Raw genomic sequence first — 16,763 nt, forward strand, 5'->3', positions numbered from 1 at the left:
TGGGGAACAGCTTACTGCTACCCTAATAATAACAAGGCTCACACCACCATTACACAACTTTAATACCAGCTTTTATGCGGGCATCTGGGGATGTGTGTGCTTATGAGCAATTTGTAATGAGAAAAAGACCGACCTGCAGCAGGCTGGGAGGGGAGGGACCCAGAGCACCAGGAAAGACAGGCTCCATCACAGGGGCCGCCCCAGGCTCTGGGGACAGGACTGCTGCCCTGGGATGTTTAAGGCACTATTTGATCTCTTGTTAAGTCCCACATGGCTTCAATTTCCATGTGCTCTGAAAGAGAATGGAATTAGAGTCAACAGATCCATCATGCCTCTCATAAAGATGTGCTCTTACTCAAGAAGAAGAAAAAGAAGAAATGAAAACTCACGTTCACGGAAGACCTACTATGTGCCAGGACCATGTCAAGAGCTTTATTTTCATGCATTATTTTATATGAGCCTCACAATAACCCACTGGGGTAGATTTGTTGCTGTTTTTTGTGGTAGACTAAAAAAAAATAGCCACAATATTTTGCACCTCATCCCATCGAGAAGTAGAGTCTGTTCCCCCATCCGCTCAATTCTGTATTGACCATCCTGCTTTGGCCAGTGGGGCATTAGCAAACACAATGTAAGGGGCTTGAAAAGTGCTTTTGCATCAAGGCTTTCCCTCTCTCAGCTTTGAACCCTTTTGCCACTCTGTGAACAAGCACAGGCTAGCTTCCCGGGGATGAGAGACCATGTGGAGCAAGGCGCCCACCTCTCCAGCCATCCCAGCTGAGGCCACAGGCATAGGAGTGAGGCTGTTCTTGACCATCCAGCCCCAGCTGAGGTTACCCACACCTGAAGAACTTCCCAGCCAACTTACATAATCATGAGAAATATTCAGTGCTTGTTATCTTAAGCCACTATGTTTTCAGAAATTTGTTATTCAGCAAAAGCTATCTGATACATCCCTTTTTTATAGATGAAGAGCCCAAGGCTCCGAAAGCTCAAGTCATTTTGCCAAGAATCCTCAAATAAAATTGGCAGAGCAAGGATTTGATCCCCAGGCTTATATTTAGTGCCCTGAATTACCTGCTTTCCCCTGCAACTTGCTAGCACGTAGAGAGAGATGCCTGAGAGAAAATTTCCTTAAGAAACGCTAACTCCCCCATAGAGCCGTCATCACCCATTCCATTTTGAGGAAAGCTGGAAACTCTCCAGTCCTCTAGAGAATTTCTGCTTGGATAGGCACAGCACAGACCTGAAAGTGTTTCTCTAGATGGCATTTTCGTAAGTGGAAGCTCACTTTTCCATTGCCTCTTGTTAATGAACTGCTGCATCCTTACCTCTGAAGATTCTTCTAAGGGCACAGGCAACTGCTGCTGGGGTCTTGGTCCCTCTGGCTAAGAGACCCTCAGCACTGGTCAGGTGATCAATGTACCTTCAAGTACAACTGGAAATCTCCTTGGTCAGCAATTGTACTAAGAAGAATCACTTTGGATGTGTGAATTTAAACTACCTTTTTTTTTTTTTCACCCGGGCTGGAGTGCAGTGGCATGATAGCTTACTGTAACCTTGAATTCCTGGGCTCAGGCGATCCTCCCCTCCCTCCTCAGTCTCCCAAGTAGCTGGGAATACAGGCACTTGCCACCACACCAGGTTAATTTTAAATTTTTTGTAGAGATGGCATCTCACTATGTTGCCCAGGAAGCAACCCTCCTGCCTCAGCCTCCCAAAGGGCTGGAATTACAAGCATGAGCTACCAAACCCGGCTGAAACTACCTTCTTATCCTGACATTATATTTCAAGAAGGGCCTGCCTGAATATTGTCATACCCGCCTCAGGGAGGCCTAGTGACAGTTTCATGTCCCAGCAATCAGTTCATGAGAACAAATCTCCCTGGCAAAGCCCTGTGGTGCTTGCTGGTATACTCTCAGGCCAGTCTATTCCCATGACATAGGCAAAAGGGAGCTTATGAGTTCTGGGTCCTGGACACAGGGTAGCCCTCTGTCTTGATGCAGGATTGGCTTTAAGCGGACTTTTGAAATAATCACTGTTATATTCTAGCACTTCTGCGCTCTTTTTCAGGCCCCTGGCTTCTCTGCTTCTCCATTTTGGAATGAACCCTATCCTTCCACTCACCTCCCCTGCCACCAAAGCACTCCATGCTTTAGAATTATTTCTCCTCTCCCTTCTATCTCCCTTGACTCTTCTGCTCTCCTTACCACCTAGATGGGCTGGACCTACATAGTGGCTTTCCTTTCGCTGTCCTCAGTTTGTTTCTTTTTTTTCTTTTTCTTTTGTTTTTGTTTTTGTTTTTGTTTTAGACAGAGTCTTGTGCTATCACCCAGGCTAGAATGCAGTGGCACGATCTCAGCTCACTGCAACCTCCACTTCCTGGGTTCAAGCAAGTCTCATGTTTCAGCCTCCCAAGTAGCTGGGATTACAGGTGTGCACAACCACACCTGGCTAATTTTTTTTTATTTTTAGTGAAGGCAGGGTTTCACCATGTTGGCCAGGCTGGTCTTGAACTCCTGGCTTCAAGTGATCTGCCCACCTCATCCTCCCAAGGTTCTGGGATTACAGGCATGAGCCACTGCACTTGGCCAGTTTGTTTCATTTTAACTACTTTTCATCCTCCATTTAGAATCGATGCATTACTTAGAAGCACCAAATATTTTTCACCTCTCTGTCACCCGGAAATGACAGCAGTGAGTCTGCTGGTAGCAGCCCTGACTCATCCATCAAAAATATTAAATTGGATTTTAATCACATCTGGAATTTCAGATATAAACTTTCACACATATGGTGAGGAGGGAGTTTGTACTTCAGTATCCTTCCGTTCTTAAAGGTAAAAATCTGAGTCTGTTTAAGAATAAAATACCTAAGAAGAAAGAAATCTTCTGATATGATTTATGGGATACCATATGGAACCTGGAATTTATTCTTGAAAGCAATTGTGTGCAAAGAAATTAGCAGATACTAATTGCTTTTGGGAGAAAATTGCCTCTCATTACAAACTATTGGATTTTTAAAAATGAGCTCCTTCCCAGCAGTGTGAACATCTGGATTCCCAGGGGCTATGGGCAATGCCAGAGCCCCCTTTCAAGCCCAAGACAGAAGAGAGGTATTGCAGACTGCTGAGGAGATTTGCATGAGGAAGGTGGCAGGATGTGGACGTGTCAAATGCTGCTTTTTGGCTCACAAGGTCAATCAGTATGGGGCCATCAGAAGCACTCGACTGTTTAAAATCTCAGCTTCAATGTTGAACTCAGCTTGGCATTCACGGCTCTCTAAAATCTGGGCCTTGCCAGCTCCTTTTCCCTCTACCTTTTCTCTCCCTCTATCCCCCAAAACCTATGCCCAGTCCACAAAGACCTCCTCCACCCTGGAACAATGGTCTCCCCTTTCTTCATGAATCCAAACCCCTAGCCTTCAAGGCCCATCGCAAAGCAACTTCCTCCCCACTGGAGGCCCTGGAGCAGGCCAGGCCTCTCCCCAGTACCACCGTGGAAAAGCTGTGCTCCAGCCTGCCTCCTGCCGACTCAACTTCTAACAGAGGGGAGAAGGCAAGGCTGGAAGTCTCCTACCCACAAGGTCCTTCTCAGGGCTCATGCGCCAGATCCTTACAGTTCAGACCCCTTTCCTCCCACACAGTGCCATGTTTTGGGGTGAACAGTCAGGCAACTTTGTGCCCCAATCTATAATGATCAATAAACTGAGCAATACTGTATCAAGATGAGAAAACTGCATTCCCAGAACTGCCCCCAGGGCTCTTTGGCTGGAAGGAATACTTTGATAGTAGAAGGGAGTGAGGCAGGACCCTCCAGGGGTCATTCTCAAGTAACAGTAGAGGGTCTCTAAACTGCACTTAAGGGCCCAGTTAACTCCATGGCCTGGGGCTCACTGACCAGCTTTCTGGTTCATAGATGATGCCTTCCCATTATTTCCTCCCATGGTGGAAGGCCTGAACAAGCTCCCTTGGGCCTTTCCAGTGGGTTCTTTTTAACTGTATGCTCCCTTTTTATGTTGAGGAAAGGTGGAGTGCTGCATGGGGAGGGCACACAGAAGGAGGACCTTCCATTGTAGCTGCAGCTTCTCCTCTGGTCTTGAGCAATTAATTCTGCTCTGGCTCCAGCTTATGTTCCCTTCTCAGTGAGCCTTGGAAATCCCCAGTTTATGTGTGATTTGACACACACTTTTGTTTTTAGTTGGCTGTTTCACTGAAGATGGAAGGCCACTTACTGTGTATATTGTGGGGAGCAATGGTTTTCCCAAACTGTTTTAGCCATGGAACTCTTTCTTCAAATTGAAATCTCATGTGGAAGCCAAATACTTAAAACCTCAGGCCCACGGAATAGGCCCCTTCCTTTTTGATCCCTTAGGGTTTTCTCTTTAGCTCCATCTCGGAATGAAAGTGATGAGCTCTGTCTTACTGTTTCTGCAAACAGACACTCCACATGACCTGCTAGATGAGAGAGGGTCCTCCACACACATGCCATGGAAAAATGAGCTGCCGCCAACCCATGCTGGAACGCCCTCACCTACTTTCCGCTGGCTGACTCCACACTGACTCTTTTGAAAATTTAAAGCTGTTCTTTTTCCTGATGAAATCAGGTAATTGTTCCAAAATTCTAAAACAATAGGTAATGCAGCAGGTGTTGGGGTGGCAATTCGCACAATTTTGAGCACCATGTTTTGTACTTGGCTTCTCTGCATTGCACAAGGGACTATACCTCTCTGCCTAGGCCTTCAGAAAAAGAGTGAAAAGAATGCTTTCTTGGCCAAGCATGGTCGCTCACACCTGTAATCCTAGCACTTTGGGAGGCCAAGGCAGGTAGATCACTTGAGCCAGGAGCTCAAGACCAGTCTGGGCAACATAGCAAAACCCCATCTCTATAAAAATAAATAAACAAGTAAATACATAAATAAAGTTAAAAAACGCATTCTCATTTGCTAACTCTCCCCTTCTCCCCTCACTTCCCTTTAACCCTTTCATCCCTGGTGGGGTGGGGACCCTAACCATCTCCACACTTTCCCCTGGAGGCTCTCCCTCTCTTCACTGAAGTATCAATTCCTAACTCCTGAGGTCCCTTTCCATCCCTGGCAAATGGGATAGACTCCAGCAGCCTCCTGTGAACATCCTGGGGCCTCTTTCCAGCCTGGCATCTGATGCTTTAGGAAGTGAGGGAGGGTACACCCTGGTCTCAAGGTCTTTGGACATCTTGAGGGCAGGGAGAGAGAGAAGTGTCCCTTTCTGAATGCAGTTGTCTTTTTCTCAACCTTAACTCACCATCATGAGAATCTATCCCTTAAAACAACAATAACAGAATTCCTTGGCTGGTCATCAGAAGAGATTTATATTCTTCCCTTAACATGGCTTTGACCTATCTGATACTGGGGGAAATGAGTAACCCTTGTTCATGAATGGTACTATGTCCAAATCTCTTCTCTATAATACTGTCTAGGATTCTTCCTTGGTCAGTGATACGGTTTGGCTGTATCTCCACCCAAATCTCAACTTGAATTGTATCTCCCAAATTCCCACGTGCTGTGGGAGGGACCCAGGGGAGGTAATTGAATCATGGGGGCTGGTCTTTCCTGTGCTATTCTCGTAATAGTGAATAAATTTCATGAGACCTGATGGGTTTATCAAGCGTTTCCAGTTTTGCTTCTCCCTAATTTTTCTTTTGTCGCTGCCAAGTAAGAAGTGCCTTTCACCTCCTCCCATAATTCTGAGGCCTCCCCAGCCATGTGGAACTGTTAAGTCCAAATAAATCTCTTTTTCTTCCCAGTTTCAGGTATGTCTTTATCAGCAGCACAAAAATGGACTAACACAGTAAATTGATACCAGTAGAGTGGGGCATTGCTGAAAAGATACCCAAAAATATGGGGGCACTGCTGAAAAGATACCCAAAAATGTGGAAGCGACTTTGGAACTGGGTAACAGGCAGAGATTGGAACAGTTTGGAGGGCTCAGAAGAAGACAGACCTACCCTTAACCTGGTGGGCACAATCTAATCAGCTGCCAGTTAATATAAAGCAGGCAAAAAAATGTGAAAAGCTGAGATGGGCCTAGGCTCCCAGCCTACATCTTTCTCCTATGATAGTTGCCTCCTTCCCTCAAACATCGGACTCCAAGTTCTTCAGTTTTGAGACTCGGGCTGGCTCTCCTTGCTCCTCAAGCTTGCAGACAGCCTATTGTGGGACCTTGAGTTCATGTAAGTTAATACTTAATAAACTCCCCTTTATATATATATATACGTTCTATTAGTTCTGTCCCTCTAGGGAACCCTGACTGATACAATCAGAGACCATGAAAGGGGAGGGATTTGTTTTGTTTGTTAGTTTTAACTACCACTGTCAGATAAAAGTAGAGCTGGTCTCATTAAAATGGTGGGTGGGTAGTGGAATTCCCCGCCCTCTGAGCCCTCTACTCCGCTCCTGGCAAACTCCCTGAATAGAGTTGCTACATTTTGCAAGTAAAAACACAGGACAACCAATTAAATTGGAATTTTAGATAAACAATGAATAATATTTTAGTATACAGTAATTATGTCCCAAATATTGCGTGAGACACCCCTACCCCTGAGACACCCCTGGGAACACCAGGACTCCACAAAGCACTAATTGAACCCACTGTTGCAGGCAATATTGGTATCAATGAAGTAGGGGCTCGGGGTAGCTGATGTCTAAGGTTCCTTCATCTCAAGGACTCTGTGATGCCTTATGTACCAATGCACTGAGGGAGGACACAGAACATGGGTCAAATCATGGTCCCTTCTGGAAAGGGGCCCCCTCCTTCTCAAACCTCAGCTCCTGACTAAGCCCCTGACTGTGGCTCTGAGTGTGCTATTGTCTACTTTGGCTCAGGAGCCTCAAACCCTGACCCTTGCTCCTTCCTCATTCCCATCATGGCCTCCTGGCAGCACTTCCAGGTGACCACCAATACTTGATAGTGGGCTCTGCCTCCAGCATCTCCGTTACCTGCCCTCCAGTCTGGGGCCCCTCCCTAGTTTTCAAGAGCCACCACCTGGCACCTCTAGTGAGTAGTGTGTAGCTAGGGCTTGGTGAGGACATCAGGCTCCCCTCAGAGCAACACAGACCAACCCTGCCTTGCAACAGGAAGCCTCTGGCTCCCAGAATTAAAGTCCATGTCAGGAAAGTAAATGAGGTTTCCCTTCCTAAAAACAATCAGCCAAGATCGCCACATGAGAGAGAGAACAGTTTAGTTTGGCCAAAGTCAGGTCTAACAGAAAGTGTATGTGATAAGCATCTCCTGGCTCAGTGAGGGATACAGGCCAAGGAGGAAGGAGGAGCCGGGTAGGGAACTCATGTAACCAGAAGACAACGAATGAGAGGAAATACAGCCTGAAACACAGGAATGTTTTCTAGCCTTGGTTCACCGGATGTGTTGAAGCAGGCTTGCAGTTAAAAAGATAAAGATGCTGACAAGAATGCTAGAGTCATCCTCCGACCTCATCTTTCTCTCAAACCTAAACACACAAAAAACAAGAAAAGAAATAGAAACATCAAAATTAACCTCTCCATTTCTGCCTCCTCTTAAAATACAAAAGGATCACATCTGGTTAATATCAGCACCAGGCACAGAGCATGGACCTAGGTTAAGTAACAAGCAAATCACAGAGTAAATGGACAAATAAATGAAGGTAGCTGCCCTGTTAGAACTCCTTCTACACTTAGAACCAGAATATCTGAGTTCAAATCCCAGCTCAGCTTCTATTGATGCTATGCCCTCAAGCAAGCGTTTGATCTCCCCAAATCCTCAGGTTCCTTATCTATAAAATGGTGTTCACAACTGTATCAGCTTCGCCAGACAGCAGTAAGGACAGAATGACATGATATAGCAGAAAGGGCATTTAAACTCTAAAGCTCTTTCCAAGTATTAAATATCACAAAATTCAACCCCTACCTTTAAGCAGCTTGCAATCTGGATCTGTGCTGTCCACTATGGGAGCCACTAGCCACATGTGGCTATTGAGCACTTGAAATACGGCTGATGCAAATTGACACACACTGTAAGTATAAAATGCACACTAGGGAGTGTGTGTATTTTAACATTAAAAACTGTAAAACTATATTGTTAATATGTTTTATAGGGAACACATGGTGAAATGATAATATTTTGATATATTGGGTCAAATAAAATACACTATTAAAATGTCTCCTGTTTCTTTTTACTTTTTTAGTGTGGCTACTAGAAAATTTAAAATTGCATTTGTGGCTCATATTGTATTTCTATTGGACAGTGTTGGTCTAGATGGACCACAAGACATGGGCACACATGAAGTCAATGATAATACAGCAACCAAACAATAAGATGTCGAGAAGCACAGGTCAAGAGAGGTTCTCAACACTATCAGTGCTCAATGATTGGCTGACGATGGCAGTAATTTATTGATACGCAAATACTGGCCAATCAGTGTGCCTTGAAATGCAAACTGATTATGTGTATGTGTCTTTCAGTCTCCACAGGTCGGAAGAGCAAATATAAACATTCTGAACTTAAGCAGGCTTCAGGATCATCCAATCCAACATCTCATTTTTTTTAAATGAGTAACCTCAGGTCCAGAGAAGACTGGGACTTAACCAAGATCACACAGCCCACAAATGACCCAGAGTATTTTCCATTAGACCACAGTGGGGTTTTTAGAGCTTTTCAAAGCTTTTTTATGAAGACTGCCAAAATAATATCTCATGATAATTCTGAGACATGACAACCGTGTCCATGTTTGGCAGGTGAGAAAACTGAGGCCCTCAATGAGTAACCACATACAATTAGTTGCCTCTTTGAGGCCAGAGCCTTAACCCTTTGCCCCATGCTCTGCCTCCCACCCTAGGCTTCCTCTCCAGATCCACAGGATGGTCCAGTAACACATAGCATCCCCCTTCCCTGATACCCCCACCTCCTCTTGCTCAGTACACGCCTCTGAGCATTCTTCAGCCTAATTAAATAATGGAACCACACTGATCCTTCCCTCCAAGGTCTGGGGGCACTGTTTCCTCTCCACTCCAGTTCTGCTTGGGAATGTTGACTTTGGAAAACGGCACTAAAAAAACTCCGGCTGCAATTTCCAAATCAGAAACAGCCTCTAAATCCTTATTCAGCAAAGGGTCAGAGACATTGGCAGGGCTGAGCCCATTTAGGCCATAGGAGCCTAGAACCTCTTCTCCCTACAAAGCCTCCAGAGACAAAAGAGTTATCAAAAGTCAGCTCAAATCTGGAAATAGGAATCCACTGGGTGTCCCAGGATTTGGAAATGAATCAAATAAAAGTCTCACCTCCTAGTCATTCCTGGTCCAATAGAGGAGATTTCCACAAGCAGCTGATGGGAACATGAAACAGAAGGACATAGGTATCACACTACGGGGGCCCAGAATAAGGAGCCTCAAATCCAGATGGGCTTCCTGGAGAAGTGGGGTCTGTCCAAGGTCTTACAGGATAGGAAGAACATCGTAGGCAGAGAAAGGAGGGTTAGACCCTCCAGGCAGAGAGAACAGAGATCCAAGGAAACCTCAGTCTTTGTGGACATGTGACACTGGCTTAGCTGCTCCTTTCTGGTGCAAGGTCTTGCCCCAGACCTTTCAAGGTCTTGCTGGGCCAAGTTTTTCAGCAGCAACATTAATTACTATTACTTTTTTTTTTTTTTTTTGAGACAGAGTCTCACTCCATCACCCAGACTGGAGTGCAGTGGCTCACTGCAACCTCTGCCTCCCGGGTTCAAGCAATTCTCCTCTCTCAGCCCCCCGAGTAGCTGGGACTACAAGAGCCTGCCACCACGCCCAGCTAATTTTTGTATTTTTAGTAGAGACAGGGTTTTACCTTGTTGGTCAGGCTGGTCTCAAATGCCTGACCTCAGGTGATCCACTCATCTCAGCCTCCCAAAGTGCTGGGATTACAGGCGTGGGCCACCACGCCCAGCCTACTGTTACTATTAATTACTCCTTACCTCTCGGTGAGACTTCATTCCCATGCCCAATCTCACTGGATCCTCACAGGCACCCTGGGAGAAAGGCTGGGCAAATGTCATTCTCTGGATCAGGAAAAAGAAACTGAGGCAAGCTAGTGCCGTGACTGGCATCACACAGCCATATTAAGAAGCAGAGCCCAGGCATCACCAAGGGTTTTCTGGCCCTTCCACCTCTGCCCTTTCCTTTCCATACAGTTCAGCAGCTGGGAATTCCAAGGCTCCACGGCTTTCCCTCTCCTCTCTTGTCTTGATGGAAACTCAGTCACTGCCAAGTACTGCCTATGGGGCATTTGCACATGGGGCTTTTCCCTATGGCTGTTTTCTCAAAGTCTCTATCTTATCTCTTAAGGTGCTTCTTTTATCTCTCACAACACCTAAAACAGTGCTGGGCACACAGTAGGTATCAGTGGGCTTGTGGGCTCATTGATGGGTAGACCAGTGCAGAAGCAGTGTCACTAGGGAAAGGATAGGCTAGAAAAGGATTTTGGGTATGATCATCACTACCTCAATTCATAGACACTTGCTTTGGAAGTCTTTAAGAAACAGGACTAGCTCCTGTCATCTCCTCACTTATGTCCTTACCCTGCCTACAGACATCTTCCTACTGTCTATCCATGTCTTTTATTCCACTCAACCCACTTACCTCCCAGATATTTTTCTTTTTCTTTCTTTTTTCTTTGAGATGGAGTCTTACTCTGTTGCCCAGGCTGGAGTGCAGTGGCATGATCTTGGCTCACTGCAACCTCCACCTCTTAGGTTCAAGCTATTCTCCTGCCTCAGCCTCCTGAGTAGCTGGGGATACAACTGCCGGCCACCACACTGGCTATCTTTTGTATTTTAAGTAGAGACAGGGTTTCACCATGTTGGCCAGGCTGGTCTCAAACTCCTGACCTCAAGTGATCTGCCCGCCTCGGCCTCCCAAACTGCTGGGATTACAGGCGTGAGCCACCATGCTGGCCCCAGATATTTTGACTTTTGGGCTGGTGCAAAAACACCAGTCCACTTGGGCACTGGGGCACAGGAGATGTGTGTGTATGGAAGCTGTGAGTGTGTTGTGACAGGGACATGCACTGTCCACTAAGGCACAGGTGGCTAGTGAACACTTGGACCATAGTAGTCTGAATTGAGATGTGAGGTAAGGGTAAAATACACACTGGATTTCAAAGACTTCGTTCAGAGAAAACAAAAAGAATGTAAAATAGCTGGTTAAAATTGAAGGCATGTTGAAATGATAATGTTTTAGACATACTGTGTAAAATAAAACATTATTAAAATTAATTGCACCTGTTTCTTTTTACTTTTGTTAATGTGGCTACTAGAAAACATGAATACACACATGTGGCTCATTATATTTCTATTAGACAGTGCTGACCCATAGAGGGGTCTAACCTGGAAAGCAGACAGACTTGGGGACAACCCATTCAAGTGGACCTGGAGTGGCAGGGGTGGTATCTCCCTCTAAGCCTTAGTCTCATGTGTCTTTCTCCATTGTCTGTACATTTGGTCCTTTAATCTGTCCAACCCAATAATGAACTATTTCTATCTCTCCTCTGCCAACCAATCCAAATCCAGTCACTTCAGAATGCAACTCAAGGGCACCCTTCCCCACACCTTCCTGTCCATGCATGCCTCTGAGTCTCTCTTCTGCTCACTGCTTATTTTGCTCAATTTCTGCCTTATTAGCCACAGCACAAAGCACCTGCCATAGGTCCCTCAACAATGACATGAGTAAATTGGTTGCAAAAAAGTGGGCAAATGAATGAGTAAAAAGTGTATGATGCAGATACAACCCCCCACCCGAGAGAGAGAGAGAGAGAGAGAGAGAGAGAGAGAGAGAGAGAGAGAGAGAGAGAGAGAGAGAGAGAGAGTCCTGTTTGCCTATTTTGTGTTTCTTTTTCATAGATACATGTCTTGTGTGTTTAACCAGCTATAAGACTTCTGCCTTACTACTTTAGTTAAGACCTGGCCACATGGTTTTTATGTCAAATACACAATACATTCTTGCAAGCTGATTAATTCCCTCTTTTTTCAAGGTTAAGCCAGAGTCTCAACTTCTTCATAAAGTCTTTGATGTCTCATTCCACACAGCTCTTCCTCCTGACTCCCATGGCCAGCAAGTTCTATGCTGTGTGACAAGTATGTCTTTGGTTTTCTTTTTAGTTGTTTCATGGGTGCGAATCCTGCGTTTCCTTTGACCCTGCTCCCACCCACATCCCTCGTGGACTGTAAACTTCTTTGAGGCCTGAAACTATCTTCACTTCAAGCTCTAGCACAGAGCCTAGCACACAGTCATTGTTCACTAAAGACCTGCTGGTTGGTTGCCTGGAGGACAGAGGGATCTACCCATAAGGGTCTTCAAAAGAGATGTTTTGGGGAAGTTTGGTGCCTGGATTTCTGGCCCCTTCTTTCCACCTTCAACATTCAACTACGTCTCGTTAAACATAAAAATCAGCCAAATAAAAATAACTTCAAAGGGTGGCCCACTGGGGCTCCATGCACTGCCTGGCAATGGATTTCTCCCCAAGAATAAATCAATTGGTCTGCACAGTGAGGCCCTTCAGTCTGGGGCTTCAGAAAGGAGGCTCTGGCCAGGAATTTCAGCAGAAGCAGGCACTGATTTAGACCTCCCTAATCTATATCAGCTCTTACACTAATAAGAATGGCTGTGAGAGCAGCTGTGAGAGGGCCCAGCAAGGGCTGGGGAGCCAGGCGGATCTCAGGTGGTACACTCCCAAACTCAGGCAAAACAAGACAAAGAGGTTAGGAAACTTCAGAACAATCACAACACCTCTCTCTCTACCTACACAGAGCTCCACTAGGAAAAGCCCATAAGTGCTGAAGGTTTGGTCCTTCTTGTCCACCAAGCCATCAGGCCAAAGCATAAACTCACAGGACTCTACCTCTTGGGCCCTGCCCTCTGGCTTCCCGGAGGAGCCTCCTAGAGCTGGAGAGCCTCGGTGGCAGTCAACACCAAGAACAGTGGGTGTGGGCTGCTTGGAAGGGGAGAAGAGATTGTTTCTTTTGCAGTTGTGTCTGGTTTATTCACCCTCTTTACCACAAGACCATCCTGTTGAACATTCTTGAGGCAGAAACAAGAGAACACCTTGATATTTTGACTCTCTTGAATTTCCATGAGTACGCTATGGGTACTTTGCCCACAGCGTCACAGCCCCAGGCATTGACAACAATGTATATTTCATATATTCAAATCCTAGGTGAGAGACCTAGGATTTGACCCACAGGTGCTCCCTGCACCTTCAGTGACCATTGTTGGAAACTGTTCAGTGAAGCCTAGGATCCTCTGACCTTCCTTGAGGGAGCATTAGGTCCCCTGCCCCTGGTCACAGATCCTACAGGGCCTGGCCTGGACCCCAAGGACCCTATAGAGTAGTTCTTATTCCAAGCTAAGCACCCCTTGTCTCTAGGACACCTCTCTCTTCGCCCAAGTAATCTCTTCCAGCCAGAACCTAAATAACCAGTTTGTTTCACCAAATGTCACTGGGATAAGCCTTAGCAGCTGTCTCTAAGAGTTCTCTGTAGTGCAGCCTCTGAAGCAATTTTTGAGGGCTCATCCCTGACTCATTTTTCATTTTACCCAGGCCCTTAGAAGACTGCACAGCGTTAAGTACCCACCTCCTCACCAGTTTGGAAACTCAAAGGCCGTGGCAGCCTCCAGACTTTGCCAGCGTGTGGAGGTGGTGCTCTGGCTGTCCTAGCAGCCACCATAGCAGCCAGGTACCTGCAACTGACACATTCTGCCTGACAGTCCGCTCACCATTCTCACTCCCCTCCCCTCCGTGCCATCAGGGATCTGAGTCCTTGAGATTCCCAAGGAAGGCCAAGGTCCCAAAGCTGCTGGGACGTTGGGATCCTTAGCCTTTCCTAGGGGCCATCTCTCTTCACTGTTGCCAGGGTCTTAGAAAGCCCTGGCGTGTGAGAGAAGGCTCTGCACTCAGAGAAAGGAACCTGGGGCTTTCACCTTGAACTGAGCCCCATTCCTAGGAGCTAAGCAGAGGAAAGGGAGAGAACGAGCATCTCCCAAGCTCCAGGAACCCTGCTTGGTGACTACACCTGTTATACTCTTGGCAGCACACAAGAGCTATCTGTCCTCTCTGTAAAGCCCTTGCTTCCAGATGCCCCACTGACTTTCTGGCAACATCTGTGGGTGTGCTGTGTACACAGTGTGTAAGCTGTAGTGGAAGAGGCGGGTTTGAGCTTACAGCCTCCATTCAAAGGGCTGCCCGCCTTCCCAGTTTGGCAAGACTCCAAATGGACTTCTGAATGGTTTCTGGGGCAACTAAGGTTGAGGAATTATTCATGTACCCTGAAAACTTGATTGACCTGGAAAGTTTCTGACTTCACTTGACCTTGCTCAGGCCTTTGCTCAGTGTCTAGGCACTATGGAGCTTCAGAGTTTCTTACCAAGAGCTCTGTGCTTTAGTTCCTCTTGGAGCTAAAGTGAGGCTTAGATCCCAGGAACGGCACATGACTGGTGGGTACATGCATCTGCTATGAACATCATCTGCCACATGCAAAAGCTGAGCATCATTAGGCTTGACTGCACATCCTGCTTTAGAGCAGGAGTGTGTCTGCAAGTCTTGTATCCACCATCCTTCATAGGGCCAGGGATACTGTAAGTGCTTACAAAGGACCTGCTGATTGACAATATATCAGCCTCTAAATGAATTTAGAGGTACAAGGGCACCCACATACAGCCTCTGTTGGCCATGAGATGTGCTGCACTGGGGCCCCCAGATGCTCATGGGGGCCAAACCAATAGGCAGCGTGGGCAACAAGGCTTCCCATGTAGGTGTCAGGAGAGCAAGAATGGGGGCTGTCAGGAGGTCCAGATGCAGGCATCCAGCACGATCTGGAAGGCGCTGAGCCCCGGAGCAGATCCAGGCAGCTATGGATCCAGCATCAGAAAGGCCTGTCTGACAAAACAGGCATGTAAACTCACCCAAGAGTGCTGCTCTGATCCCAGGGACCACTACATAGGGAGTCCGAGGCTCCAGATGAATCAGGTCCTCCATGAGGGGAGCAGGGCAGAGACTGAAGCTCAGCAGATCATCCAGGCCCAAGTCCTGAGCAGAATCTCAGAAGAGATGGCCTGATGATGAAGGGCTCGTCCAGAGCCTCTGAGCTGCAGCAGCTGAGTCCAAGCATCCAGGTACAGCTGAGCTCAAGGCATCGTTCATGGCCACAACAGGAAGGTGACAGGAACATGGTGTCAGGGCCTCAGCTTATCACTGCAACAGCAAAGTAGAAGCCACAGAATAATGTCTAACTCTAAGGGAGGCAAGAAACTAAATGCATCACCCATGATGTGCCTTCATTGATAACCCCGAGAAAGACAAGCCCAGGCCAGCCATCCCACTAACAGCCTTACTTTCTAATGCATGCAAAAGCCCTGCGTGCCTACAGCCTGATCCTCCTCAAGCCCAATTTCTTGAATGCCCAAACCACTTCAGCTCATGCTATTTGCCTGTGTGTGCTCACCTACTTCAAGCATTAGGAGGCGTGTGTTTATGTTCCCTATTGTCCTCATAGGCATTTCCATTGAAGTTATATTTTTCTAAAATTTTATTGCCGGTGAAAGAAAGGCATAAATGTGCAGAGTGGAATTACTGACACATTCAGGATATACGAGGGACATTAAAGGCACTGTTAGGATTTGATGACAGCTGCCAAGAATCTTTTCTATAATCATAAATGAGATAAGCACGAAGCAATGAAGACAACATAAAAAAACCTGGCAGCAGCCAGGGGCAGGTGTTTCCCCTGCTGCAGTTAATGACTCTGTGGGAGCCTGCTGCAGACTGGAAACACGTGCAGGAGCCCCCGAGGCCCAGGGTTCAGGGGGCTGGGGAACCGAGGGGTAGCTCACTCATTCTCCATGTCCATTCTTACCTACACACATTTTCCCGGCTGACCCCCCGGCATGGAGAGCATCCCCTCCTGTGCTTTCATCTCCCGGAATCCCTGCCAGCCTTCCCAGCATCAGCTGGAGCCCTCTTGCTCCCAAGCGACTGACTTAACTTCTCCACTCCAAGTCTGCACTTGGCTCACCTTGCCTCCGGCTGCGCTCACAGTCTCGGTGGGTCTTGAGTGCTTGGATAGCTGGGGCATTCCGTGGCCCTGAGGCGGGGCGTACTCTGCTCATTCAGGAAAATATTTTACTAGGCTCTTATGAGCTGCACATGGGAGATCACTCAGTGAGCAAGACAGGCCACACTACCTGTACTGTGGTCTATCTTCCAACTACCTGTCCTTTCCTTCCAAAAGTATTCAATTTCAAAACCTTCAAGCAAATTCTTATTAATGACACACCCCGCTCTGTTATTCTCTCAGTGGAGACACTCAAGGGAGCAGCCTGGGGCTAAGACATCTTCATCTTCCTCTCCAGACAGCTTGCAGCTCTGCAGAGGGAACTCTAGCTTCATGGCACTCATGAACATGCAGATCAATCCAAGAGTCAGGGGAAATGACACCCCAAGTTATAAGCCTCTTGTTTTACCGTGGATTCATGAGCTGGAGTTTTCCCCCAAGCTCCGAAATAAACATGGTGGAGATCCACAGGCACAAATATTTGGGAGGGAGGGGCTTAATGTGGAAGTCCTTGGGCAACCTAATACCCAGGGGCATTCTGGGAAATCAGTGGGAAGCAGGAAAACCTCCCTGGGGTTTTCCATCAGCTAATGTTACCTGCACTCACCCCAGGACTGCTCTCCTGCTGCCATCATACCCGGCTCAACCCTTCCCACCTGCCCGGATGATTCCTGGTTA

This window comes from Homo sapiens, chromosome 2 (assembly GCF_000001405.40).
Source record: "Homo sapiens chromosome 2, GRCh38.p14 Primary Assembly".
NCBI classification, from domain to species: domain Eukaryota; kingdom Metazoa; phylum Chordata; class Mammalia; order Primates; family Hominidae; genus Homo; species Homo sapiens.